Raw genomic sequence first — 27,384 nt, forward strand, 5'->3', positions numbered from 1 at the left:
CCTAAGACAGGGTAGTTTATACAGGAAAGAAGTTTAATAGACTCACAGTTCCACATGGCTGAGGAGGCCTCACAATCATGGCAGAAGGTGAAGGAGGAGCAAAGTTATATCTTACATGATGGCAGGCAAGAGAGCTTGTGCAGGGGAACTCCCATTTATGAAACCACCAGATCTCATGAGACTTATTCACTAACAGAATAGGAAAACCCACCCCCATGATTCAATAACTTCCCATTGGGTTCTTCTCACAACATGTGGGGATTATGGGAACTAAAATTCAAGATGATATTCGGGTGGGGACACAACCAAACCATATCATTATCCTTTCAGTTGTATCCTTCCTATTGTGACTTAATGTTTCTTGAATTTTATAATATTGTCTGCCTTATTGCAATAGTGTTCAGATCCTCATCAGAAGTGGTCATTGACGGGTAAGTTGGAGATCAGGGAATAGGTTTGGCATTGTCAGACAAGACTAATGAATATCAATTGATAAAGAATGGGTTGTTAATATTATGGGGGATAGTCTAAAGCATATTACATTACTGTATAATGCTGTATTCTATATAATTGTATATTACTTTACAATATTCTAGAAATATGGTGAAACTAATACATGCTTTAAAAGAAATTATATTTTTATTGCCTTTTGAAAGTTTACATTTAATTTTTATTTTACTTTATTTTGCGTTTTGCTTTTAAAAGATTATTGATTTGCTATAGCCCAAGAGGTAGTAGGTGAAAAGCTTAAAGTAGTTAATAATCTGAGATTATTTTTCCTCCCTTCTGTTTTTCTTTTTTTTTTTTTTTTTTTTTTTTTGAGACGGAGTCTTGCTCTGTCGCCCAGGCCGGACTGCGGACTGCAGTGGCGCGATCTCGGCTCACTGCAAGCTCCGCTTCCCGGGTTCACGCCATTCTCCTGCCTCAGCCTCCCGAGTAGCTGGGACTACAGGCGCCCGCCACCGCGCCCGGCTAATTTTTTGTATTTTTAGTAGAGACGGGGTTTCACCGTGTTAGCCAGGATGGTCTCGATCTCCTGACCTCATGATCCACCCGCCTCGGCCTCCCAAAGTGCTGGGATTACAGGCGTGAGCCACCGCGCCTGGCCCTGTTTTTCTTTTATAAAGACACCAGAAGGAAATTAAATGCTTAATTAAATTAAACAAATCAGGCACTAATATTACCACAATCGGGGTTTTCACCACTAATTGCTTATTGAGTATTACAACAGTGTTCACACAATCTGAAAGTAGAGTGGTTTTGGCCACATATCAAAATAGGCAGTGTTATAACAGTTCCAGATGTTATGGTAACAGGCACTCTGGAGGTGGGGTCAATGTGAGCATCATCAGAACACCAGACAATTAGATATTGCTAGTTCAGTTTGCTGGGCCTTGTCTTGATCCCTTTAGGGTGAAAATGGTGCTTCCAGCTTCCATCTGTTTGGCCCTGCTTGGGAAAGAGTCATGCTGGGCCAGGCTAATCACATGTTCTAGAAGAGGTCACAAAATTCTGATTTGGGAATTTTTGTAAACGACTATACCCATCTTACACATACTGAAATCTAAGAAGATAATATTTCCTTGTCACGTTTTTCTGAAGCAGACGTTCAATTAAATTCAAAGAGCACATGTCTGCTCTCATAGGAACAACTATGAGCAATTAAAAGAGAAACAGAACAAGTGACAAAACAGCTCCTTCTTCAGAAGAGTGGGAGAAGTAACCCACTGTGGATGGTTCAACACTTCTGTCAGTAGGTAAAACTGTGACAGAGTCAACATTCACCTTAGAAATTCTTCTATGTGCCCCTGCTCCACCCCACACACTGTTAGCAGTTCCCCATCCCTGGGTTGCCTCTCTGAGCACAGGCTTAAACTGCTCCCTTCCACACCAAAATATATGTGCTCTGGAGTTCATTTTGTCAGATTCCTCTTAAGCTTCTAATAAAACCTAATAAACCTATTCAGGATAGGATCTCAGATGAAAATAACTTTTCAATTCAATACTTTTATATTAAGTGACTAAGTGTGCTAGATACTGTGGCTAACGATCTGATTAAGAAATGGTTTCTCCATTCATCATTTTAAAAATCAGGAACAGGCAGGTGCGGTGGCTCACATCTATAATCCCAGCACTTTGGGAGGCTGAAGCTGGCGGATCACCTGAGGACAGGAGTTTGAGATCAGCCTGACCAACATGGTGAAACCCCATCTCTACTAAAAATACAAAAAGTAGCTGGGTGTGGTGGCAGGCACTTGTAATCCCAGCTACTCAGGGGACTAAGGGATGAGAATCACTTGAATTGGGGAGATGGAAGTTGAACGACCCAAGACTGTGCCACAGCACTCCAACCTGGGCGATAGAGCAAGACTCTGTCTCAAAAATAAATAAATAAATTAATTAATTAATAATTAAATTAAAATTTAAAATCAGAAACAATTGGAAAGCCCTATAATAAAAGAGTAGTTAAATAAATCAAGGTATATCCATACCTGTGGGATATGCTGTAGTCATTAAAAATAATGCTTTTGAAAATAATGTTTTAGTATGATCACAGTTTAATGACATATATAGGAGAAAATGCTTAATAAAATGTAACAGTAACTTTTGCTATCTTTAAGAAGTGGGATTATAGGTGATTTTTATTTTCTTTAAAATTTTATGTGTTTTCCAATTTTTCTTTAAGAAGCATATACTTCATAAAATAATAAAAATCATTTCTTTGGGTTTTTTGTTTTTTTTTTTTTTTTTGAGATGGAGTCTTGCTTTGTCGCCCAAGCTGGTGTGTAGTGGTGCAATCTCAGCTCACTGCAGCCTCTGCCTCCCAGGTTGAAGTGATTCTCCTGCCCCAGCCTCCCAAGTAGCTGAGATGACAGGTGTGTGCCACCACACCCAGCTACTTTTTGTATTTTTAGTACAGACAGGGTTTCACCATGTTGACCAGGCTGGTCTCGAACTCCTGGCCTCAGGTGATCCGCCTGCCTCAGCCTCCCACAGTGTTGGGACTACAGATGTGAGTCACCTACCCAGCCTAAAGACAATTTCTCTCTGTAAGAGTTATGTCTAGTCCAAATTAAAAGATTGAAAACAAATTATTAATACATTATAAGTGTTATAGTTACATACAAGATGTTATGAGAATAACTACCCATGTGAATGATATCACTTAATATTATACCACCACCAATGATTTCTCAAAAATCTTTTTTACACATTATAAACCAGCTAGTTTATTATTTTGTAGTAAGATATAGATCTTTTACCATGCAGACTGAAATACCTATGTCTTCATGAACAGTACTTTTCTTCCTAGAGGCAGTTACATGGAAAACCAGGTTATTATCAGGTTATTTAATGAGTGTGAAATCCCAACAAGAGGAGACTAACTTTAAGACCTATAACTCATCCATGAAGGCTGGGGGCACAGTTTCCCACCACGGGAACACCTTAGCCTCCAGAAAGCTTATTGACTCTTCTCTCCTCATCTTGGTCTGGCTGAGCACTGTCACTGGTCAGTCACTTCCTGCAGCCATACAGTCTGGCCAGCTTGGCCTAAGAGCTGTATCTCTGCTCACTGGTTTGTGTTGTCACTGCCACTGTTACTAACAGTTAAGGTTCTGAAGGGGGTACGTCAGTTGCTCCCATGTACCAACTAGGAGACACAATAATCCTGTTAGTTTGTCCTCCCAAACCCACTCAAGTTTATCAGGTAATATGCTTCGTAAGGTTCTTTCCAACCCTGTTAGCATGTGCATAGATTACCTATAAATTGACCTAATGTAACCTACTTCCTACTGAGGATTGAGGTTTTAAGGTTTTGTTTTCCCACTTTCTTGATCAGTGATTACCAACCATGTAGGAGTTAATGAAACCAATTCTGTATCACCACTGCAACCAAGACAGAGATACCAAGTGATATGTATTTTTCAAATCAATAGTATTTTATTCTCTATAATGTAAAAAACAAGTAGATGCAGTCCTCAACTTAGTACTCAATACTAGGAAGGGTCAATTTGTCAAAAAACGTCTTTCAACAGTAGAAAATGTTGCTTTCCAATTAAAAAACAAAACTGATATTGCAATCGTGTAATAATGATAAAATTACAGAAAAAAACATGTTCGGACTGAGCCACAGCATTCACACCACACCAGAATTTTGCCTGTAACGAAACAGTGAATTTTGTCTCAAAAAGTAGGTTAGGTTCATGCTGGCTAGAAACTTCCATCCCAGACCCAATAAATGAGGATGAAATACATAGTGCATGCTTAACAGACATTGCATATACATCAACCATTCTTTAATGCCCCTCACTAGGGTTTTGAGGGATGGAGGGATGAAATGTGGATGGACATGTGCACTCACAAAGGCAGAATTTTCTTCCAATTATAAAAATTCATACATGTGACCCTTTACTATGTCTTGGGCAATAGCTAAGATTTTATCTGTGGGAATCCACCTTTGAAAATCACAACAAAAATCAATAGGAAATGATTTAACTAATATAAAATATAAAAATTTCTTAGGATGAGGACTTTCACAGAAAAGGAAGAAGGGGACAACAATAAAAATGAATTTTTGGCCGGGCATGGTGGCTCACGCCTGTAATCCCAACACTTTGGGAGGCCGAGGTGGGCAGATCACCTGAGGTCAGGAGTTCGAGGCCAGCCTGGCCAACATGGTCAAACCCCATCTCTACTAAAAAACTGTGCGTGGTGGCACATGCCTATAGTCCCAGCTACTCGGAAGGCTTAGGCAGGAAAACCGCTTGAACCTGGGAGGGAGAGATTACAGTGAGCCAAGATCGTGCCACTGCATTCCAGCCTGGGCAATAGAGTGAGACTATCTCAAAAAAAAAAAAAAAAAAGAATTCTCTTAAAAAATAACATTCCCCTTATTTTGTCCCCTTATTTTGACCAACACTCAAAAATAAATCTGTACAAAACTAGGAACACAGAAAAGAACCAGAGAGGATGTTACGTTGTAAAGTCTTAGGACCTACCCTAAACTTCTGCCCTCATCAAGACCCTCATCTACAGATTTGCCTTTCGTGAACTTCAAAACCTGATTGGCTCGCTCTCCCCAGTAAAAAATCTTTAGTATTTTAAGGAAAGGTACAGTTAACAATTTCTTACCCAAAATATTTGATGCTAGATGTGACATTTTTTGGATTTTAGGAAGATAATGTGGTGAGTATATCTGTTTATGTAACACCCCCAGTGGGTCCTGGGCAGCAACCCATAATCAAATGTACTAATATTTCCATTAAGTGAGATGAATGGGGACTATAAAGCTTCACATCAATTTTGGCCACCAAATTTTGTTACTAAAACTTTTGCTTTTCAGAGCCCTTTGGATTTCTGAATTGCAGACCACGGATCGCGGACCTGTATGAGAAAAGTGGGGACTCAGTGCTACAGCCTGTGAAAGATGCATCTTCTGTTATCTAGTCTCAACTCATTCAGCCCAACACTCGCTCTGATTGTAGAAGTCATAAAGCTAATTTCAATTCAGAATAGAGCATATGATCATATTTGATCGCAGATACACACTCCAGGAGTGAAAGTTCTCTAATGCTATGTCTTAAAGACATGGTGCCTAAGGGGCTGGGGTTGTTTTAACCCCAGGAGGGAAATGTTATAAACCCAGTTTGCAAAGATTTAAAGAATATCAAGAAGTATGTGGGTCATCTAGGTAGAAGTAATATCAATAGAGCTGGCAAAAATGCACTTCTCAGTACATTTTAAAGGTTGCCTCTAGGCCCAAACATTTCTTAATCTCTCTTGGAAGAATACTGGCGGCAAGTGACCAAAAGGCTGTGGTTTCAGAACTTAACTGTAAAACTGCTGAGTTTATTGATACATAGCTGGTTCAGGATAAATTTTATCTATCTACCTATTTATTTATGTTTAATATATAATATATTTATATGTATTATATATTTTTTCAACTTTGTGGTATAATGAATTATGTGTAATGTCTGAGCTCATATCGCATACCACTGAGGGCAAGTAGCAATTTCCATAAAGTGACAGATAAGCGGTTTTAGGGGGAAAAATGCTGCCAAGGATGATTCATTTGAAATCAGCCTTGACAGTTTTCCTGCTGATGAGGCTGATGGAAGGACTAGAACAAAGGTTAAATTCTTTACTTCTAGGAAACTGTGCTCTGTGTTTAAGGCTTGGTCCTCTGAGCTCTGCTAGTCCATCAAGACTAGCATGTGGATACAAGATCTACAGTCAGACTAACCATGTAGAGCTTTTGATAGAAAAAGGAATTTCTCCACAGTTCTACAAACAGTGCAATTGATAATGCATGTCAATTTAATGATGTAAACTGTAAATGTAAATTCCACATTAATCCCTAAAAATAATGGTTTAACAATCATTATCACCATCTCGCTCAGTAACCCTATCACCAGAACCACCAAAATGTAGAAGTTGGCTGATTTGACCTCCTGTATGCCTTTTCAGCCTCTTTCTGGAAACATACAGGCTGAAACATAGCTCTAGAGCAAAAGCAGGTGAGCAATTTAAGGGACACATGTACTCTGAGTCATTGGAAGTTGGCTATTTTGAACATTTCATCAACTGCTTTCACATAATACTAAACCCTTCTTAGTAACTAATACAGGTTACTGTGTGCTATGGATAGCATACCTGAGCTTCAGTAACTTTATTTTTTGATGTTAAACTCACATTACATCAGCATGCTATAGATTCCCATCTTCATCACACTAAAATAATTATTGCCTGTTTAATATCACATAATGCTGTGCGGGTGCCACAGAAAATAAGGATACTCAGGTCCTGCCTTTTGGGACCTAACAATTTTCTACAGATAATGACAATGACAACACAGAGAGACACATAAGTCATATGATAAACAATTGCATGAACTAGGTAAAGCATCATATTAAGAACAAATAAAAGAGTTAGCTTAGGTAGTTTTTTTTTAAATGAGTAAAGAGGCAATTATAGAAGCAAACCACAGGAGAATCACTGGCTTTTAAATGAGCTTAATTAATTATTTAATTAAGACAGTGTTTCCTGGAGGAGGACAAATCCAGAAATTTTGCAGATTTGGTAACTGCAGAATAACTAAAATCCTAGCATGGGAAAAATATTCCAGGACTCCTATCATTTTTATCCCCAAACTTTACAAGAAATGGCATCAGAACTAAAGTCCTGCAAATTTTGTTGGATTTACGTTTTGCCTTCAGCCACATGTCAGTAAGATCAGATGTGCTATTTATATTGTGATTAGTGCCAGGATTTTGCTCAAATGTATACTGAACTCAGGCTTGTGACTATGCTCATTACTATAGAAAATGAGCACTAACACATTATATCAATGGACGCATTTAAACAGCATCCGTAGGACAATTAAAGTCAATGGACTCTGAAAGCAAACTATTATGAAGCCATGTTTATGCAAGCATGTCTAAATAGGTGGGGTTCAAGCATTTATTTTGTCTGTTTTGTTCAGAGTGAAGTGAATTAACAAAAGATGGGCTTATCTCTGAAGTCTGCCTCACTAGTGGCCTATTGATACAACTGAAGCCCACCAAAATCAACCCCTTTAGCTTGGGAAGTGAACTATTTTGGCTAGAAACTGTTAGATTTTTCTGGAAATTTCACACTTTAAAAGAAAATCTTTGAGAAAGACACATGAGAAAGACATCTAACTACAAAGTGGTTGAGTTTGCCCTGCTGTCACTCTTGCTCTCTTGCAAGCAAATGCGTATCTGAGGTTTGAGCTGAAAACTCACTTCTGTGGGGTGATTTTCATAGATATGGAACTTACTATCACAATGCCTAAGAAATGTGGTTTTCAGGAGATAAGGATGAAAATCCACTGGATTGCAAGCTGTCATCTATGCTTTAGAATATGAGAAGTAAAATGCTGTTAAACAGAGGAGATCTTCAAAGAGCTACCTTAGTATGGGAATGCTCACCAGAGTTTTCAAACCACAGACACACAAATCTGCAAAAGTGAAAGCCTTCCAAAAAATCAAAAGGCTCAGGGAGAATTGTTCTGACAGAATTCAGCTCTTACAAGTCAATCTGAGGCTGAATTATACTCTTAAAATGCAGAGTTAGAATCCTCCTGCAAGGCACTTTTCCTAAGCCTTGGGTAGGATTTTATTATAGGGTACTACAATGTTCTGTCTTTAAAACTTCAGCTAGACTACATATTTATTCAGTCATTCAGCCATCAAATGCTTACTGGATGCCAGCATTGGAGATGCAAAATGAATATGCTATGGCCCCTGAACTTCTCGAGTCTGATAGAAAGGACAAGCACATAGAGAATCTCAATGGTGTGCAATAAATACAGGGTGATATTAGAAAAGGAACACTCACTTTAATTTGGAAAAGCATCATCAAAAGGAAGAAATAGAAGGGTAGTCCAGGCAATGAAAATGGCATTTAAAAAGGCATGGAGGTAGAGAAAGGAAAGCACTTTGGGGTCATGGCAAAACAGCTCAAAATGAGCAGATGTGGGTAGAGAGATAGGCTGAAGCCTGATGACCAGAGTCTTTGAATATCATATTTTGAATTTTGGATTTTACCCTGAAACTAATAGAGAAGAATTCTTTGATAGATATTAAACAGAAATAAAATGATCAGAACTACAGAAGGACAATGTTCTGGGGCAGTATGATATAGTGTCCGTAAAACAATTGGATGTTTAATTCGCCAAAGTAGGTTGTGAGAAAAGTTACATTTGTGTTCTTGGAAGAGAAATTAACCCTCTTCAAATGGATGACTGGATCCTTTTCTCAGTAGTTGCTCTCCTTGTACTTAGGACTTCCAACCAAGGGAAGTTGAAGGAGAAGGTGTCACTCTCAGGCACCATCTGAGCATTATTGAGAGTACTTGAGAACTTGTGGCTATCACCTTTCAATTGAATACATGTCATGTGGGCACTTCCAGCTCTGCTGGCAGTAGCCAACGCAGATCCAAGAAAAGGGCAGTAACAATAAGAATTGCCTACACTGTCATGGGAGTTATTAAAGAGCTGACTGGGAAAGTTATTTAATACATCTGCTCCTATTCTTTCATCTTGTTCAAATTGTGCCTGCATCAAATGTAAACTTCTGCTTTAGTTATTCTGCTAGTCAGCCATCTTCTTTCAACATAATCAGTATTTTTCTTCTTTGAATATAATCTTATTTTTCCAAATGAAATGTTTTTGTTATTAAATGTTTTTGTTTTATTACTTTAAAAAAGTAAATTTTATTTATTTAATTCCTTGAACTGGTAGCACATTCACATAGTTCAAGCATCAAAAAGTATAAAAAGATATACAGCAATGTCTCCTTTCCTCCCTTATTCTCTATCTGCCTATCTCCAAAAAACAGGTAACCAATATTATCAGTTTCTCATTTACACTTCCCAAGATTTAAAAAACATATATGCAAGCCAGTACAAGTATATTTTCTCTTCTTTTTTTAACTCCCATTGCAGTACACATTGGCACTTTGCAGTACACATTGGCACTCTTTTCTCCCCTACTTAAAAATAAATCTTGGAGGCTAGATGCAGTGGTTTACACCTATGATCCCAGCACTTTGGGAAGCTGAGGCAAGCAGATCACTGGAGGTCAGGAGTTCGAGACCAGCCTGACCAACATGGTGAAACCCCGTCTCTACTAAAAATACAAAAAATTAGCCAGGTGTGGTGGTGCACACCTGTAATCCCAGCTACTCAGGAGGCTGAGGCAGGCAAATCACTTGAACCCAGAGGCAGAGGTTGCAGTGAGCTGAGATCGCACCACTGGACTCCAGCCTGGGTGACAGAACAAGACTCTGTCTCAAAATAATAATAATAATAAATATTGGAGATTGTATTAGTCAGCTCAGACTGCCATAACAAAATACTATAGATTGGGTGGCTTAAACAATGGAAATTAATTTTCTTACAGTTCTGGAGGCTGAAAGTCCAAGATCAGGGCACCAGCATGGTCAGATTCTGGTGAGGGCTCTCTTCCTGGTTTTCAGATGGCTTTCTTCTCACTATGTCCTAACATGCAGATAGAGAACCAGCAAGCTTTCTGGCATCTAATCTTATAAAGGCACTAATCACATCATGAGAGTCCCACCCTCATAACCTCATCTAACCCCAGTTACATCCCAAAGGCCTCATCTCCAAATATCATCATCATATTGAGGGTTAGGACTTAAACACATGAGTTTTGAGGGAGACATGAACATTCATTTCTTAATAGAGATCTTTCCATATAGACATATAAAGAGCTTCCCTATTCTTTTTTACAGTTGCACAGTATACTACTGTGGCATCAAATACCCTTAATGTCAAAACTGGGAAAACTGAAGCTGTCCTTAATCATTTTTTTGCTAATAGGATCTGCAGAAACAAAGTTAGAGAGCTAGAGTCCTAGAGACTGAAAGGTGATGTTTCTGATGAGGTTAGACATAAACTGGAATTATATTCTGATGACTGGTGAAAAAGTATTAAAAGTCAGGCAACATGTTCAGTGTATATTCATTAGCATGTCATTAGATCCTCAAAATTTCAGCATTCTGAATCAAATACGGTTGAATTTTCTAATATGAAGATGGTGACTGCATTTGAAAATGCAAATTAATAGACATACGCTATGAAATGTATTTTTGTCATGTCACTACTTATAAACAATAGTCAACTTGCACCCAGCTGTTACTTACCAGGCATGTTATACAGGCCATTCTAGCCATTCTAAACATGTTTAGTGGAAGTTCTGAGAAAATGTTAGCACAGAAGATTTAGTGGTCTTTGTGAATAAAGTTAAAATGGTTATTCAGACCAGAAAAGGGAAAGAACTAAGGAACAAAGAAGGGAAAAACAGTATGACCACAAAATACGTTTGGATAACCCTACTGAAAGCAAAAATAATAGGGTGTGTGCTATTCCAGCAGCCTGAACTATCACTACCTGAAGGAAGAGAAGGCAGAGACAGAGTAAATGTCTGTAAAATATGGCTGAAATTAGATTCAGGGATAAGGAGGGAAAAATCAATCATGGAATTAGGGTTTCAAGCCTAGGTGACTCAGTAAAAGAGTAACACTGTTGGCTGAGATAAGGTGGAAGATATTTGGAGTGGGGTAAGAGTTTATTTTACTATACATTTTCTTTGGGGGCTAGTGGGACATCTAGGTTAAAATTATCAGCAGGCAATTAACAGAGGTTGAAGAAAAGAATTTGTTGGTGGTTTCAAGGAGTATTTATGAGAATCAGAGAGAGAGGGAGAGAAGGAAGGACAGAATGATAGAGACCACCCACATTTAGAGATAGAAGGGAAAAGATGGACATTGAAGGAAAGAGGAATGGTTAAAGGGAGAGGAGGCAAATCAAGGTAATGAGGTTACAAAAACCAAGGAAGGAGGATGTAGTTAACTGTGTCAAATACTGGAAGATAAAGTTATGAACCCCTAACATAGTATTTTAGGAGACAGAATCAGATTTTAAGACATTAGGTAATGAGTTGAACAGTGATATAGTAAAATTAAAAAATATTTTATATTGATGGTTTTTTGAAATGATCACGGAGGGAAGAAGAAAGACAGGATTATGATATTATTCCATATTTATATTCTACTTCAGAGTAACAGAGCACTTTCCCAAATATGATCTCATTTGATACTGTTTCAAGAGGTAGGCTTGTGGTGGATAAGTGGAGAAAGATGCAATGAAGAGAGATAGTTGAAAATGCAAATAGAAGATGAAGGAATGAATGAAGTTAGTTTTCTAAGGAGGTAGACTAGGGAAGAATTTAGTGCTGGAAAAGACTAGGAATACCTCTAATTTTGAGACAGAAAAGAAGAAAAAGTGAGTTCATGAAAATATAGGAACAATTTGAGGTAAAAATAGTTTAGAAAGATTCATGACTAAAAGACCTGAAAGTAATCAAGGTAACCTTGAATTGAGGGCTGAACTGACAGGAGAAATGTGAAATGAGTGGGAAAATAATGATGTTGGCATAAAAAGTCAAAACACTGACTCTTCACCCAGTCACAAGCTCTCCGTATCTCTAACACAGTATGATAGTTCTCCCACTAATGTAATGATGAGTGGTCATTGAACCACTGGAGACAAGGGCAAACAGTTCAATGTCTTAAATAAACCCAGCAAAGCCATTAAGCAAAGTTCATTCACTATACAATCCAATTTATAAGTCTGCTTTGAGTACCACTCCCCCAAGCCCATGCTACAGGAAGGAAAAGCATTAAGCAATCTGTTAAAATAATGCTTTCCAACAGGACAAGACAGCCTGCAATTTTTCAACCAACAGGGATGTTAGTCTGTGGTCCAGCCTCTAGACACTCTCTTTAGAAAGTTCTGCTTTCTCTAAGATAATGCCCAAATGTTTATAACTTCCTTCTTTAAATAGTATGCATATTAAGAAATAAATTTAAGTCTGTAGTCTATGAGATAACACAAGTGGGGGACAAAATTATGATAGGCCTCCCTTCCTGGCTGGGCAGTCCATGTGACATGTCTGCTCAGGGCTCATGGCATCTCAGCCAGACATTCTGAGATTCTGGCCTCTTGGCTCCTTGAGCCAACTCTACCATTAAAATATTAATTTCTCTATTATAACTCATTGAAGGTGAAGGTTATGATTTTTGCTTGCCCAATACACTTCCCTCTCTTCTAATGACAACAGTAACATGTATTCTTTTTTTTTTTTTTTTTTTTGAGACAGTCTTGCTCTGTTGCCTAGGCTGGAGTGCAGTGGTGTGATCTCCACTCACTGCAACTTCTGCCTCCCAGGCTCAAATGAGCCTCCCACCTCAGCCTCCCAAGTAGCTGGGACTTCAAGTGTGTGCCATCATGCCCAGCTAGCTTTTTTTGTATTTCTGTAGAGATGAGGTTTCACTAAGTTAGCCAGGCTGGTCTCGAGCTCCTAACATGTCGTGTGCTCTTAATTGGGCCAATTATATTACTCCATCTTCCTGGCTTGGTGATTGGCTCAGGGAAGAGTATATGACCTAAACTGATTCAATGCAAGTGATTGTTAGGATTGTTTTCAAACTGCAGACAAAGACAAAGGAATCCTCTTTCTTTGCTGGTAGAACTGCTGTTAGGATGAGATGAGAGATCATAGTTGCTAGGATTCATGTTCCCCATGGCATGGAGAAAGCTCATCTGCAAAGAGAACTGGAAACATACATCAGAAATAGAGAGTATAAGCCCTAAAAGTGTGCTTGCCACTGAGTCCAGACATCCATAGGACCAGCTGTCCACATTCTGTGTTTGGGTGACATCAGCCAGCAAATTCTCTTTTTTTGTGTGATCAAGTTGGAATTCCGTCATTTGCAAAGTAGCCCAACTTGTACATAGAATGTCTTATACTTACAAGGTGCCCAATAAACATATATTGGTTATCTGGTTGGTTTGATGTCAGTGTTTTTTCTGTATCTTTTGCTTGTGTACTTTGTACTCTATACCATCATTCTCAATAAGGCTTGTTCAAAACAAAGTCTGCAGTTTGCCTGTAATAACTAGGTGACCTAACCCCCTATACTGGCATGAGGAATATGTCTGTGTTTCAGTTTCCTAATTTATAAAATATGGCAAATAATAATAGCAGCTACTTATTTAGTATCTACTAAATTTCAGGTGCTGGTCTAACACTTAACATACATTATCCTAATTCTTATGGCAACTTTATGAGACATGCATAATGATCCTCATTTTATGGATGAGGAAGCTGAGATGCAAATGAGGTTAAATGAAGTGACCAAAATAATACAGCTTGACTGGCAGAATTCAGATTCATACTCAGGCTTGTCTGAGTCTGTGTTCTTTTGAATGTCCTATGATGTCCTACTTATTCAAAAAGCTTTTGTGTGTGTAATAAGATAATGCAGGTAAAATTGCTCTAAAAATAGAAAATGTTCAGAAATCATTCTCTAATTAACAATAAAAAAATGCAAAAATGGACTCAAATATTAACAAGGAAGACTTAGGTTAAGTGGAACATTGTGACTACCCAAATTGCAGCATTAGAAACAGTAATAGAAAAAAATAAATGCAGAATCTCATATAAATGTGAAATTTTATGAAGAGGGAAAGTGCAGCCAAGATTCTGTTCCATTTCTGAAATCTCAGTAAAACTCGAAAGGATATAGATAAGCATTGCTAAGCTAGGGAGAACTAGATCTCACTTCTCATTTTCCTCATTGGACCATTGATATCAGCACGTGGAATTTCCTTTGTGATCCTGTTGATGGACAGCATTTATAAAATAATGAACATTCTGATTTACAGATCTGAATGGCAATATCAGTAATGTTTAAAATGAACAAACATATATACTTACACTGTCTATGTAGCATTAAGATATATATAAACCTAATTTTTGTATAAGTTTAACGGAAAGAAATGTAAGGCCAAGTCTATGTGTTAAATGACATTTTGTAGTAAAACCCTTATGTTTTTCAGCTTGTAATTACTCTCAAACAATGTCAAGGGAACCAACCACATTATGAACTGTCTATGTCCATTTTCTTCATTAGACTATGAGTGCTTTGGGTACAGAAACTGTGCCCTACATATCTTCTTACCCCTAGAATCTAGCATAGATAAAACTTGGCATATGTCACGAAGGGTTGCATTATCATTTTATGGGTCCTGGAAACTTTTGCCTTCATGGGCCCCTTCCTTCATTAAAAAATATTTAAAATTATATTTTATGATCATCCTGGTATGAAAATGAATATATTAATATTATATATACTTTCTTTGACCTAAAATTTTATCTTTTTCTTCTGATTTTAAAATAAAAAAATTTGTTTTCTTCTGATTTTAAAAGACTGTTTTTATAGGCCTCTAAAAGTATTGTGGGCCCCAGGTGCTATGCCTACCTTGCTTAGGGATAAGTCAGTCAAATCCTATGTGTTAAATATATTTTTGTTAACTGAATGAAATGAATAAATGACTTAAAGTTAAGTTGGTGGTAGTGATTCTTAAAGCTTCTATTTTGGAGTGACTTTCAGCTTAAAAAATTTTTCAAAAGCAAATAATTAATAAAATCACCACAACATACTAATATTCATTTAATCTGAAGCCAACTATTGAAGTTTAGTACTGTAAACAAAATTAAAACCCAAGGGCAGTGTAGAAGGCTGTCAAAGTGGCAAAATAAATATTTTAAAATAATATCAGAGGTTGCTCCAATATTGAACAAACATTGCACACCTCTTAAATAGAGAAATTTAAATATTTTCTTTTTAAAATTCTGACATTCCAAAAGAGTCAGTTCAGAAGGTAGATACTTTAAAAAATGTGGGCTTATACTTGGAGCCACATGGTTATTGACTAGAATTTAGTTAAGCATGTGCCTGGAACGCTAGACCTGCTGCCTTTCACAACATTGCTTTTGGAACTCAGCATCTCTCCACTGTTGCTTCCAGAGACAGCTTTTTAAAATGGAAAATTGATTGATGAAATCTTAGGCATGAATACATGCCAACGCATCTAATAAATTAAAATACTGTCATTTTATAAGAAAGGTTTATTGGCTAACTGTGTATTTCTAGTAATTCAAAGTCTAGTGTTTAATTTACATAATGAAATGCAGAAATCAATTACTTGGTCAGTAGTAAGGTGAAACTGATGTTCAAAAGTATGTTTTGGGATGCAACCAGGCTGGCTTATCCACTGACTTAAAATGTAGAAGGTCATATCTGAGCAGTTTTTTCCCCCTTCTGAATGTATTGAACAATGTCCAGAATATGAGGAAGCATCTTTGCATTGTCTGGATAGGGTTGTGTGCAGATTAATATCTGGATAATAATTCAGATTTGCCCTTCCAAAAAGGATATCACACATATAAAGTAGTGCTAGTATTTATAGGATGGGCATTTACCAGAACAGCTCTTAAAGGCTACATAATAAAATTGCATTAAGGCTGCCTAACTTAATTAAACATAGCTACTGAAATGAATTCAGCTAATGGATTCTGCTTCCCCAAAGAGTACTCTCTCTTAATAATAATTTTAAAAGCAAAAACATGTTTTTCCTCCTCTTTTTCATAATATGTAGCCACCTGACCAAGAGTAGTGTTGGGAGAGAGACTGTCCCTACCACCCAGGAGACAGCAGGAGGGAGAGGTCATCTAGTGATCACACTCCTGCTTCTCCTCTCCAAGGGCAAAGGGCTGCCTCAGCAGCTGTCACATCCTGCTGCCCTTTGAAACAGAAAACCAGTCTAGAGTTTCACACTTATCTCCTGCTTTGCATTACCAAATTGGCAGTCTTGCTAGACCCTAGTAATTGCCTTTCATAGATGAAGGAAGTGAACGCTCTAGGGAATGGTGAATGGGGAGGGCATTTGTGTTTGGGAAGGGGCAGTACCTGGTTCAGCTGTCTGCCATCCATCAGATGGTTCTGCAGATGAAACAAGCACAGAGGAGGAAGAGAACACACAAGGTCACTTGGTCTATCTCAGGCAGGCAGGCAGAATCATATCTTTGTGCACAGTGAACCATAGAGTCTTGTGAGGAGATTGCTAGTCATACAAAGGCACATCATGAAGGACTTCAAAGATTCCCATTGTGGACTCACAAATCACAGTTACTCAACTCACCTTCTAGTCAGACTAGCCCCTGTTTTCCCACATTTCCCATACAATGTCCTGCTTTTGCCATCTTACTGCTCATTAGCAGTTCCAGCAGAGGGCAGGCGGGGGAAAGGAGAGGAGTTGTATATTATAGCCAAATATGTCTTCTGAACGTGTTAAGGCAAATTTTCTGGATTACTTAGAGCAACAGATGTCTTTCTGTCCAATTTTTTTTTTTTTTTTACTGTCTATCTGTCTGTATAGGTATTTCTAGTTTTCAGGGTCTCCTCTTTCAAGGAATTTACAATCTGGCTTGGGAAAGCAAAATGAAGACACATGAAATAATGAGAAAGCCATGCCATAAAGCCATCCCTGTTATTCCAAGCAAAGTCATGGGTTTGAAGAGAAGAAAGAGAGGTCTTCATGCACTGAAGTTGGTGATAGCATTTGTACATTAAAAATATAAATTGAAGTCAACAATTAGTGCAGAGAAGTGAGACTCAGCAAATGGGCAGATGTAATTGTTGAAAATTCTGTAAACAGGCTTGGGTAACAGTCCCATAGAGAGGACTTGTAGGCATCCAGTGAGAATGTGGTTTTTGTAGGACAAAGGTCTCACTGGATCTCAGTACCAAGCCTTTGCCATGATCAGCTGGAATGAAGGCGCTGGGACACTGAAGCTTGGTTGGCATTCCGGGAGGAAAAATATTCAGTATCTTTCCATATCATTCATTAAGGTCTGTGTGACAATGTCATGAGCAATTCACTACTGGGAGGTCTTCATCAGATAAACAGGGCTGCAAAATTCATGGCCAAGGAATGTGGACTGGAGAGACACTCCCAGCCACAGCTGCTACCTGAACACCCAGAGCTGGCTGGGAACCAAGGAGACATGCTGAAACCAGGAGCCTCAGCGACGAGTGGCAACGTTACAGACGCTTAATCCTGAAATGAAAAGTAATTGCTTCTGGCTTAAAGAATAAAGGAAAAACAAGATCAGCCTTGGCTGGATTACATTTTTTTAAAATACAACCACGCTAAAGACCGGGTTCTGCTACTTGCTTGGTGTTTGAAAATGTGAGGAAATGGATGTTTTCTGTCAATGTAATTTAAATCTATCCAGGAGTATTGACATATAAGAACACTTGAATGCAAGTACATTTTGATGAATATAATTAAATCAAATGTGTTTACTTTTAGCTGTAAAGGAGGACATCTAAAATTTAACTTACCTAATATAAATTTAGAAGGTCTTTCTTGAAAATAGCTCTTGCTTTGTATTTTGAAGCATTTCCTACTGAAAAGTCTTGGCCAAAGTTACCAGAGCTCCTTTTCCATACAGATGAAACTGCAAATGGAGAAATATGGAAGCAGAGAGAGGGGAAAGGCATTTTAATACCTCTAATATATTTCTGTGATGAAATAGTCTTCTCTAGAGAGAAGAGAATTCATGAAAATTCACTAAGGAAGAGCTGCAAGTTTGTTATTGTTAGAATAATAGAAAGATGACTTTAACTCACAACTGAGTAAGTAATATTTGTGTTCTTACTTGTTTACCCCTCAAGACCTACAGAATGGCAAATGTCAGGAGATGTTCTGTACATAGAGTCGGTATTTTCCTTGAAAGCAAGAGAGCAATGACACAGAGTAAAAACAAAGTAAGAATAAGAGGAAAACAAATCTTTCCTTTCCAGTTCCAATTTTTAAGTTATATGTATTAATTTAAGATATTTGTAGCAGACTCACAATGATGTACAGCAAATTAATTGAATTATATCTTGTATCCTAGAACTGAAGCTGCTTTGTTTCCTGTTTGGTTGAGTCATATGAAATTGTCTACACAAATAGCAATTTCATATAATTTAACCTAATATCATAAACCTTCACAGGAATTCATCAACCAATAATAACCAGTAAGAAATAAAACCTAGCTGGTTTTCCTGCCATCATTCAGCACGAACACTAATACTATAAAACTAATATAACACGTACTATCTTCTTGCAGGCCTTAACATTGAGGACATTCTGCATAAAGGAACAAAGGCTATTTACAGACAATGTTCACAGTTTGTGTTTCTGCTTCATTAATTCAAAACAGAAAAAAATAATTCTTATACCAGAAATGTTTTGGATACCACCAGGATGACTTAACCTAACAGAACAGCACAATGACTGACAATTGTGTCTGCTTCTTGTGAGCTCAGACTGATGAACAACTGGAAGGCCAGCCACAGGCCCAATAACCTGATGCACAGTGATCACAAACATAAGGATTTATTTAAATAAAAGGTGTCATACAGCTCATGAGGTAAAGAAACAGCCACAAATAGCACTAAGAATGCAAAAAATGGCTGTGAGTTGTACTCTCTATTGGTATATAACACACAGCTGGTGACCCAAAAAGCCATGGTATTTCCAAAGGCGAGGGACTACGGTACTTAGCAACACTTTGCAGATTTAAAAAGAAAAGACAGCAGTCCTTTTTACAGCAGTGTTCTGTCATTCTCTGCCAAGAAAGAGTACTAACTGTTAAATTGGCCCCAACTATCTTTTTCACATTGAACATGATTCAGATGTTAACATGGTTTCCATTATCATTACAGAAAATTTTTAGATAATCTTTCTGATCTTGCAAAATACAATAATGTCCAAAGGAAATAGAAATTTAAAGTATAATGTGAACATATATTTTAACTGAGATACACATGATTGCAAACATTTAAATGATTAGGAAGTACATATTTATGGTATGTTGAATGCAATTTTAACTCAAATACAATACTTGCAGATTTAAGGCAATCTGTTCTCTACATAAAAAATAAGATTATAAAATGTAACACAATTATACTAATGCAATTTCTCATGTTATATATTATTAAATCATCAATGACACATTTTCTTTAAACACCAGATGACCTTGAGAGAAGCAAAGTTCTTTCTTCCCCCTGAGATTTCAAGTAGAGTCATCCCTTACTACTTGCATTTTGCTTTCTGGTGATGGAACTAGAATTACTGACAATTCAAATATAATTACCAGCATCTCTCTGGGTGAACTAACCCCCTAGTGTCTTAAAACTTGCCTTCCAGAAGGAAATATATCTCTTCAAATTATACTTCATTAATAGTGAAGCTTAACGAGCCTTTAAAATACAGTCTTAAAGTGGTTTCATTCTCCCCATCTCCTTGCCAGTATTTCCCTTCCTCTCTAAGCATCCTTCTCTTCTCCTTCTCCAGGGTGAATTTTGAAGAGATTCTGAGGGATAGCCAACAGGACTATAGCGGTGACTTCCCTCAAGGATTGCTTCATCCAACCCAGCAGGTAGGGCCTGTAAAGGACTTCACATACGACATTTGGAAAATACAGTAATCAGAGTAAACCTAGGAAGTTTTCCAGAATGGCTCTAATATCAACCTTTATTTCATTTCTTTTAAAGACAATTGATTATTTAAAGCAAAAATAATAAAACTTATCGTGGAGCTGTTAACTTATGTAGAAGTATGACAATAGTGCAAAGAACATATTGGAAAACAGAAAATTTGCTTTTGTAGGTTTTTTATACTACACATGTAGTGATGTGAAATCATAGTAGATTCTGCTAAGCTAAGGATGCACATTTCAGTCCCTAGATAGCCCAAAATAAAACAACAACATATAGTTTTCAAGCCAATAGAGGAAATAAAATGAAATATTAAAACATTTTCGAGCCCTGTGTGGTGGCTCATGCCTATAATCCCAGCACTTTGAGAGGCTGAGGTGGGCAGATCACTTGAGGTCAGGAGTTTGAGACTAGCCTGGACAACGTGGTGAAACCCTGTCTCTACCAAAAAAAATACAAAAATTAGCCGGAGGTAGTGGCGTATGCCTGTAGTCCCAGTTACTTGGGAAGCTGAGGTAGGAGAACCGCTTGAACCCAGGAGGTGGAGGTTGCAGTGAACAGAGATCACGCCACTGCCTTCCAGCCTGGGCGACAAAGTGAGACCCTGTCTCAAAAAAATAAAAATAATAAAAAAAATTCTCAACAAATTCAAAAGAAGGAAGAAAAGGAGAAACAAAGGAACAGCAACAACAGGAGACAAAACAAAACAAATAGATGGGAGAAAATAAATAGCAAAATAGTAGCTGTAACCTCAACATCGAACAAAACACTCCAATTAACAGGCAGAGATTATCAAACTGAATAAAAAAACAAGAACTAATGCTATAGAGTTTATAAAAGAGATGCTTTATGTATAAAGCATAAGTATAAACAAGTTAGAAGTAAAAGGGATAAAAAAGAATATATATATTTTTAATTTCATTGATCTACTTGTCTGTCTTTTTACTATACCACAATAACTTTATTAATGTATCTTGAATTTAACAAGATCCCTAGGTAATTCATATATACATTAAATTTAAGAAATAATAAGTAGATAGCCCTTTTGAGGTATTTAGCAATGATAAAAAGAAACTTCTTGAGGCCGGGTGCGGTGGCTGACGCCTGTAATCCCAGCACTTTGGGAGGCCAAGGTGGGTGGCTCACAAGGTCAGGAGTTCGAGACCAGCCTGGCCAATATGTTGAAACTCCATCTCTACTAAAAATACAAAAAAATTAGCTGGGTGTGGTGGCACATGCCTGTAATCCCACCTACTTGGGAGGCTGAGGCAGGAGAATTGCTTGAAGCCAGGAGGCGGAGGTTGCAGTGAGCCAAGATCGCACCACTGCACTCCAGCAACAGTGAGACTCCATCTCAAAAAAAAAAAAAGAAACTTCTTGAATTGTTACCATTTAGAGAGGAATATCAAGTATTGATTAAGCCACTTACCTAAGGTTACAGAAGTGGACCAGATCCCAGATTTCCTGATTCCCAGACTATTGCAATGTCTACCAAAAACTCAGCTTTATAATTAAGTTTTACTCATTCAATAATAGGCAAGGAAAAAAGTAATTTCTATTTACCCACATATTTACCACTTCTAGCACTAGTCATTTTTTTATGTTGATCTGAGTTTCTACCTGGTATCATTTCTTTTAGCCTGAAGAACTTCCTTTAATATTTCTTACAGTTTATGTGTACCATTGATACATTTGGTTTTTGCTTGGCAGTGTTTTTCTTCTTCCCCTTCCCCTTTCTTTCTCTCTCTTTTCTTTTCTTTTCTTTCCTTTCCTTCCTTCCTTCCCTCCTTCCTCTTTCTTTTCTTTTCTTTCTTTCTTTCTTTCTTTCTTTCTTTCTTTTCTTTCTTTCTTTCTCTTTTTTCCTTCCTTCCTTCATCTTTTCTTCCTTCCTTTCTTCCTTCCTTCCTTTCTTTTTTCCTTCCTTCCTTCTTTCCTTCCTTCCTTTTTTCCTGTCTCTCTCCCTTCTTCCCTTCCCATTTTCTCTTCTTTTCTTACTTTCATTTTTTTAAAGGATCTTTATCTTTCACTAGGTTTCTCATTCCAGGTTGACAGGTTTTATTTCTTTTAGCACCTTAAAGGTGTTATTCAATTCTCTTTTGGCTTATTTGATAAATCAGCATTATTGTTCCCCTGGGTCTTGCGCAGAATGAGTCTTTTCCTCATACTGCTATTAAAACTTTTTTCTTTGATCCTTGGCTTTCATAAACTTGGTTATAATGTACCCAGGAGTGGTTTTCTTTGTTTTTTATCCTGCATGGAGTTTATTGAGATTCTTAGTTTATGGGTTAATATTTTTCACCAAATTGGGAATTTTTTCAGCTATCACTTCTTCAAATATATTTTCTGCCCCAATTTCTCTTTCATCTTTTTCTGGAACTCCAGTTTCACAGATGTTAGGCCACCTCATACTATTCCACAAGTCAGAGAGGCTCTGTTCATTTTTTTCAGTGCTTTTTTCTCTATGTGCTTCAGCTGAGATCGTTTATATTGCCCTGTCTTCAATGTCACTATTTTTTTTTCTTCTATGGAATCTATTTTGCTGTTAAGCTCATTTAGGGATTTTTTTTTCATTTTAGGTGTTACATTTTTCAGTTCTAGAATTTCTAGCTGGTTTTCTTTTATACTTTCCATTTTTCTAGTGAGAATTTCTATTTACTGGAGTCCATATTTTCTTTAAAATTTTAAACATATTTATAAGAGTTGTTTTAAAGCCTTTGCTTGCTAATTTTAACATATCTGCTATCTCTGAGTATGTTTCTATTGACTTAAAAAAATCTGTTGTGGTCATGCCTCTTCACATATCTAGTAATTTTTGAATTGTATGCTAGACATTAAACGCTACATTATCAGGTCTGGATTTAAAGAGTGTTAAGTTTTGTTACGTTAATTTACTAGTGGAGAAGCTTAATTTTTACAAAGCTGTTTTTAAACTTTATTTGGATGAACTTAGTATAGCCTTGAGTCCAGGGCTAGAGTAGCCCTCCTCCTACCGCCTGGCCTTTCTTGGTTCTTCACTGAAAACCCCAGGGAATCACTGAGAACATCTCCACTCAGAACATCTACATCTCCAGTTTTGTGCACCTTCTGGAATCTCCACCCAGTTTACAGCCCCCCAGTAGCTATTTGCCACCAGACTTTGTAGAGTCTCACCCAGAAAGTGAGAAGCTTAGCATTTGTCCAAAGACTTTATAGTACCCATATGCAGATTTCTGGACCTGTTTCTCTGTGCAGCTTTCTCTTCATTAGCCTGACCTACAAATTCCAACCACCTCAACCACCCTGAACTGTGATCTCTGCCTCCTCAGAACAGTAAAGCAACCATTATCAACTTGGGCTCCATTTTGCTGTGCCGCCAGGAAAAAAGACAAGGTGACCAAGGGTTTCATCTCATGTGTTTCCCTTTTCCCAGGGATCAAAGTTCAACACTGGGTGAATTTCAACGTCTGAAAACAGTTGCTCCATATATTTTGTCCAGTTTTACAGCTATTTATGGCAAGAGGGCTGGTACTAGTAACTTCATCAAAGCCAGAAGCAGAAGTCCTTCACACTGGATACTTTTGCTCATCATCTCCTGTTTGAAATTCTCCCTGGTTTTTAGAACTCTAATCTTGATTTTCCTCCTAAATTTCTTATTATTCTTTCACTACCTTCTCCTCCTCTTTATCCTTTAACCATGCTTCCCATGCCTAAATTATATTCATTCTTTAAAATCCAAACTTTCTCCATAAAGCTTATCCAGTCTGCTACGCTGGAATTTATGCCAGGTATAAGTATATATGAACATACTTAACACTTTATTGGCACTGCTTCAGACAGCACTTTGCACTTTCTGCCTTTTGAACGATCATGTCACTTCCATATTGTAAACTCTTTGAAGACACGGACAATGTCTAATTTATCATTGTTTCTTCCTCAGAGCTTAACACAGTATTCCTCTATTCACCTTTAATTCTGATATGGTGCTACTGGTGGTTGCCCAACAACGAGAGGAAACGACATTTGCTGACTACACCCCACGCACTCTGCTAGATGCTTTGCACATGTTATCTTGCTTAATTCTTGAGAATGATACTGAAAAGTAAACACAACCAAATGACAACAAAGCCAGTGGCTCTGACTGAGATCACACATGCTCAACTGCTGGAATTTCAGTTCTTTGAATCTCTTCCTTTCTCCTGGGAAAATGTGACACTTTTGAGGACCTCCTTGCTGTCCCTTGCTTGTCACTGCCATCATTGCCCCCTTCTCAGATCCCTCTGGCTTCAGCCTGGTAAGAGGCTGCTTCCCATCTTAGTACCTCCCTAAGAAGTTTTTCTTGTGGCATCACCACCACTGCTGCTTCCACCTATCCCCACCGCCACCACCACTGCCATTGTTTCTGCAGTGCTGCAGCCACTGGTACAGGGCTGCTCCAGGCCAGGCAGTTTCTCACTGAAGCCTGGCCTGCATTAAAGAGTCCTCTTTTGCTGCTTCTCTTCTGGGTTCTCCAGAGATAGCCCTGCCTCTCCTGCCTCCTACCACCTCTGTCTGCAGAGCCATGGGGAAGCCCTGGAGGAGTCACACTACCAGAACACTCGGGGCCTCTGCCTGCCTTTGTCTCCTGGAGTCAGATCTGCTTCTCCTTCAGCCAGATTTTCTCACTATCCATAGCTACCAGTCAGTGGATTGATGTCCCCCTGGTGGTGGATCTCATTGAACACGGACTCAGTAAATTGTTAAGTGTTTGCTAAGAACTTTTTATGTGTATGGAATCCTATTAATTGTCAAGAAATAAGTTAAAAAAAAACCCCAACAACCAAATTAATAATTTAAAAACAAACATTTTGTTTGATAAGAGTTCCTTGCTTTAAAAAAGTTGAAATATATTAGACTATATAGATGTTCTTTATCTTTTTGTTTGTTCATTTGTTTGAAATGGAGTTTCACTCTTGTTGCCCAAGCTGGAGTGCAATGGTGTGGTCTCAGCTCACTGCAACCTCCGCCTCCTGGGTTCAAGCGATGCTCCTGCCTCAGCTTCCTGAGTTGCTGAGATTACAGGTATGCGCCACCAGGCTAATTTTTTGTATTTTTAGTAGAAACGGGTTTTCACCATGTTAGCCAGGCTGGTCTCGAACTCCTGACCTCAGGTGATCCACCCACCTCGGGCCTCCCAAAGTGCTGAGAATACAGGCATAAGCCACTGCACCCGGCTGATGTTCTTTAAAGTTCATCTATCTATCTATCTATCTATCTATCTATCTATCTATCTATCTATCTATCCATCTATCTATCCATCCATCTATCTATCTACTAAGCCCATGAAGGTACCAGGTTCTGTTCCCAGTACTTGGAATACAAGATAGACAAGATGCCTGCTATCATGGAGCTTCCAATAAACACACAAACTAACATCACCTACTGATAAGTACAATATTGGACAGTGGTAAGTGATGAGAAGAAAATAAAGCAGGAAGATGGGATAGGAAATAGTGGCAGGAAAACATGAGATAGGGAGATGAGGGAAGATCTCTAAGGTGACCTCTGGGCTAAGTGGCAGGTGATGATGGGGGAAAAGGTCAGTCTAGGGAGGGAGAACTTCAGTATTGCTGCAATGTAACGATCCAGGAGGTGAATCACAGGGGATGCGGTCAGACAGACAGACTAGCCCAGATCAGGTAGGGCTTACAAGTCCACAGTAAAGAGTTTGGATTTTATTATAAATACAGGGAAAGGATTGGAAGGTTTCAAACAGACTGGCATGCTGTGATGATATTGCTCAAAGATCGCTTTGGCTGCAGCGTAGGCTGCATTGTAGGGAAGCAAGAGCATAAGACCTCAAGACTCCAAGACCCATTAGGAGCTGTCATAACCTAAGTAAGAGATGATGGCTCTATAACTCCACGAAATAAATGTGTGTTTTATTAGATCATGCCCTCTGTTGATAGCCCACTGTACAGGATACTGGATCTACTGTATAACAAAACTAGATGGCAGGGTCATTGGCCTCAAAGACCTTTCTGTAATTCAATGGAAATGACAGGTAAAATTAAAGAGAACAAAGGGTGATAACTTATTGAGTCAATAAAAAGTTGGCAGAGATGAGCAGGCTCTCAACAATAGTCTTTGGCTGTGATAAAATCTCCTGGGTCACTCTCCTGGGTCACACTCCTGGGTCACCATAGTGCTATAGAAGAACCAAGAAAACCATCATTCAGATTTTGAATCACAGTAGCATAACCAAGCAAACTGCAAGCAAAATATGAATATGATTGTCACATATTTGCTGAGCACTTAGAATGTCTGGAACTTTCTAAGTGCTCATGCTCTAAATGAGTCATTTAGTCCCCAGAACAACACTGAGACAGTGATTATCATCCTCCTCTTCTAGATGAAAAAATCACAGCTTAGGACATGGTGACTTGCCCACTGTTACATACGCTAAAAAGCATGAGAACCCATCCTCAAACTCTGACTAGTCTGCTCCCAAACCCAAGCTTATAAGGATGATGGCAATGTTTCCCAGGGTTGCCTGATAATAAGAACTATCTGTGGCACTTGTTAAAAATACAAATACCTATCCTCATTCCCTACCCCATGCCAGACCCACTGAATCAGAATTTCCAGGGAGGGGTCTGGTAAGCTATTTCTTTTAACAATGGCCCTCAATGATTCTTTTTTTTTTTTTTTTTTTTTTTTTTTTTTTTTTTTTTTTTGAGACGGAGTTTCACTCTTGTTGCCCAGGCTGGAGTGCAATGGCGTGATCTCGGCTCACTGCAACCTCCGTTTCCTGGATTAAAGCGATTCTCCTCCCTCAGCCTCCCGAGTAGCTGAGATTATAGGCACACACCACCATGCCCGGCTGATTTTTTTTATTTTTAGTAGAGACAGAGTTGCACCATGTTGGTCAGGCTGGTCTCCTGACCTCAGGTGATCTACCTGCCTTGGCCTCCCAAAGCCAAATATTATGATAACCGTATTATCTTTTTCTTAATATCATAATTATTCTTATTATATGTCTTACACCAGAGTAGGCCACACCTAACAAAAAAGAAACACAGATAAATGGAGAATATAATACAGAGGAACAATCAAGGCAGGTGATAGCAGACACTTCTAGGAAGAAGTAAGTTTTGAGCTGAATTTTGGAAGGCCTGCTAAGAGGGAAAAAGTATTTCATTAAAGAAAGGCATGAAAAAGACACGAATAAGAGAATCAGGTGCATACAGTACTGATAGGAATTGATGTCCCGAGGAGAGAAGGTGATTTGATTCAGTGCACACCCCACTGCTCAGTTCTTACATAGGTTCAAGCAGGTTTAGAGCACTTGTGGTTTACTGAACCTGTCTATATTCTTGGCCTGATCTTGAGCAAGATTGTGCTAGAAGGGGAATCCTTGAAATAATACTCTATTATCATTATCTGAGATTAAAGGGTCAGAAAGAATCCTGATTTGAGAAAT

The 27,384-nt window shown here is 38.2% G+C and overlaps 1 protein-coding gene across 3 annotated transcripts in view, besides 1 other annotated feature; it reads right to left on the reverse strand.

Moving 5' to 3' along the window:
* Window positions 1-27,384, reverse strand: part of DDAH1 (dimethylarginine dimethylaminohydrolase 1) — a 259,716-nt gene that overhangs the window by 159,880 nt on the left and 72,452 nt on the right. For 2 of the 3 annotated variants that reach the window (NM_001134445.2, XM_011541158.2), the window contains one exon: window positions 17,802-17,917. The exons of the other annotated variant lie outside the window; for it this stretch is intronic. The gene's annotated coding sequence lies outside the window, so the exon portion shown is untranslated. Of the gene's footprint in view, window positions 1-17,801; window positions 17,918-27,384 lie in introns of those variants that run through there. 3 annotated transcript variants of the gene reach the window in all.
* Window positions 16,865-18,064: an enhancer, noted in NCBI's record as "CDK7 strongly-dependent group 2 enhancer chr1:85960912-85962111 (GRCh37/hg19 assembly coordinates)". NCBI's record gives its function as "activates an origin of replication core promoter dependent on BRD2, BRD4, P300/CBP, MED14 and CDK7 cofactors, with strong dependence on CDK7, by STARR-seq in HCT116 cells {active_cell/tissue: HCT116}" and the evidence as "EXISTENCE:reporter gene assay evidence [ECO:0000049][PMID:35650434]".

Source organism: Homo sapiens, chromosome 1 (genome assembly GCF_000001405.40).
Source record: "Homo sapiens chromosome 1, GRCh38.p14 Primary Assembly".
Taxonomy (NCBI): Eukaryota; Metazoa; Chordata; class Mammalia; order Primates; family Hominidae; genus Homo; species Homo sapiens.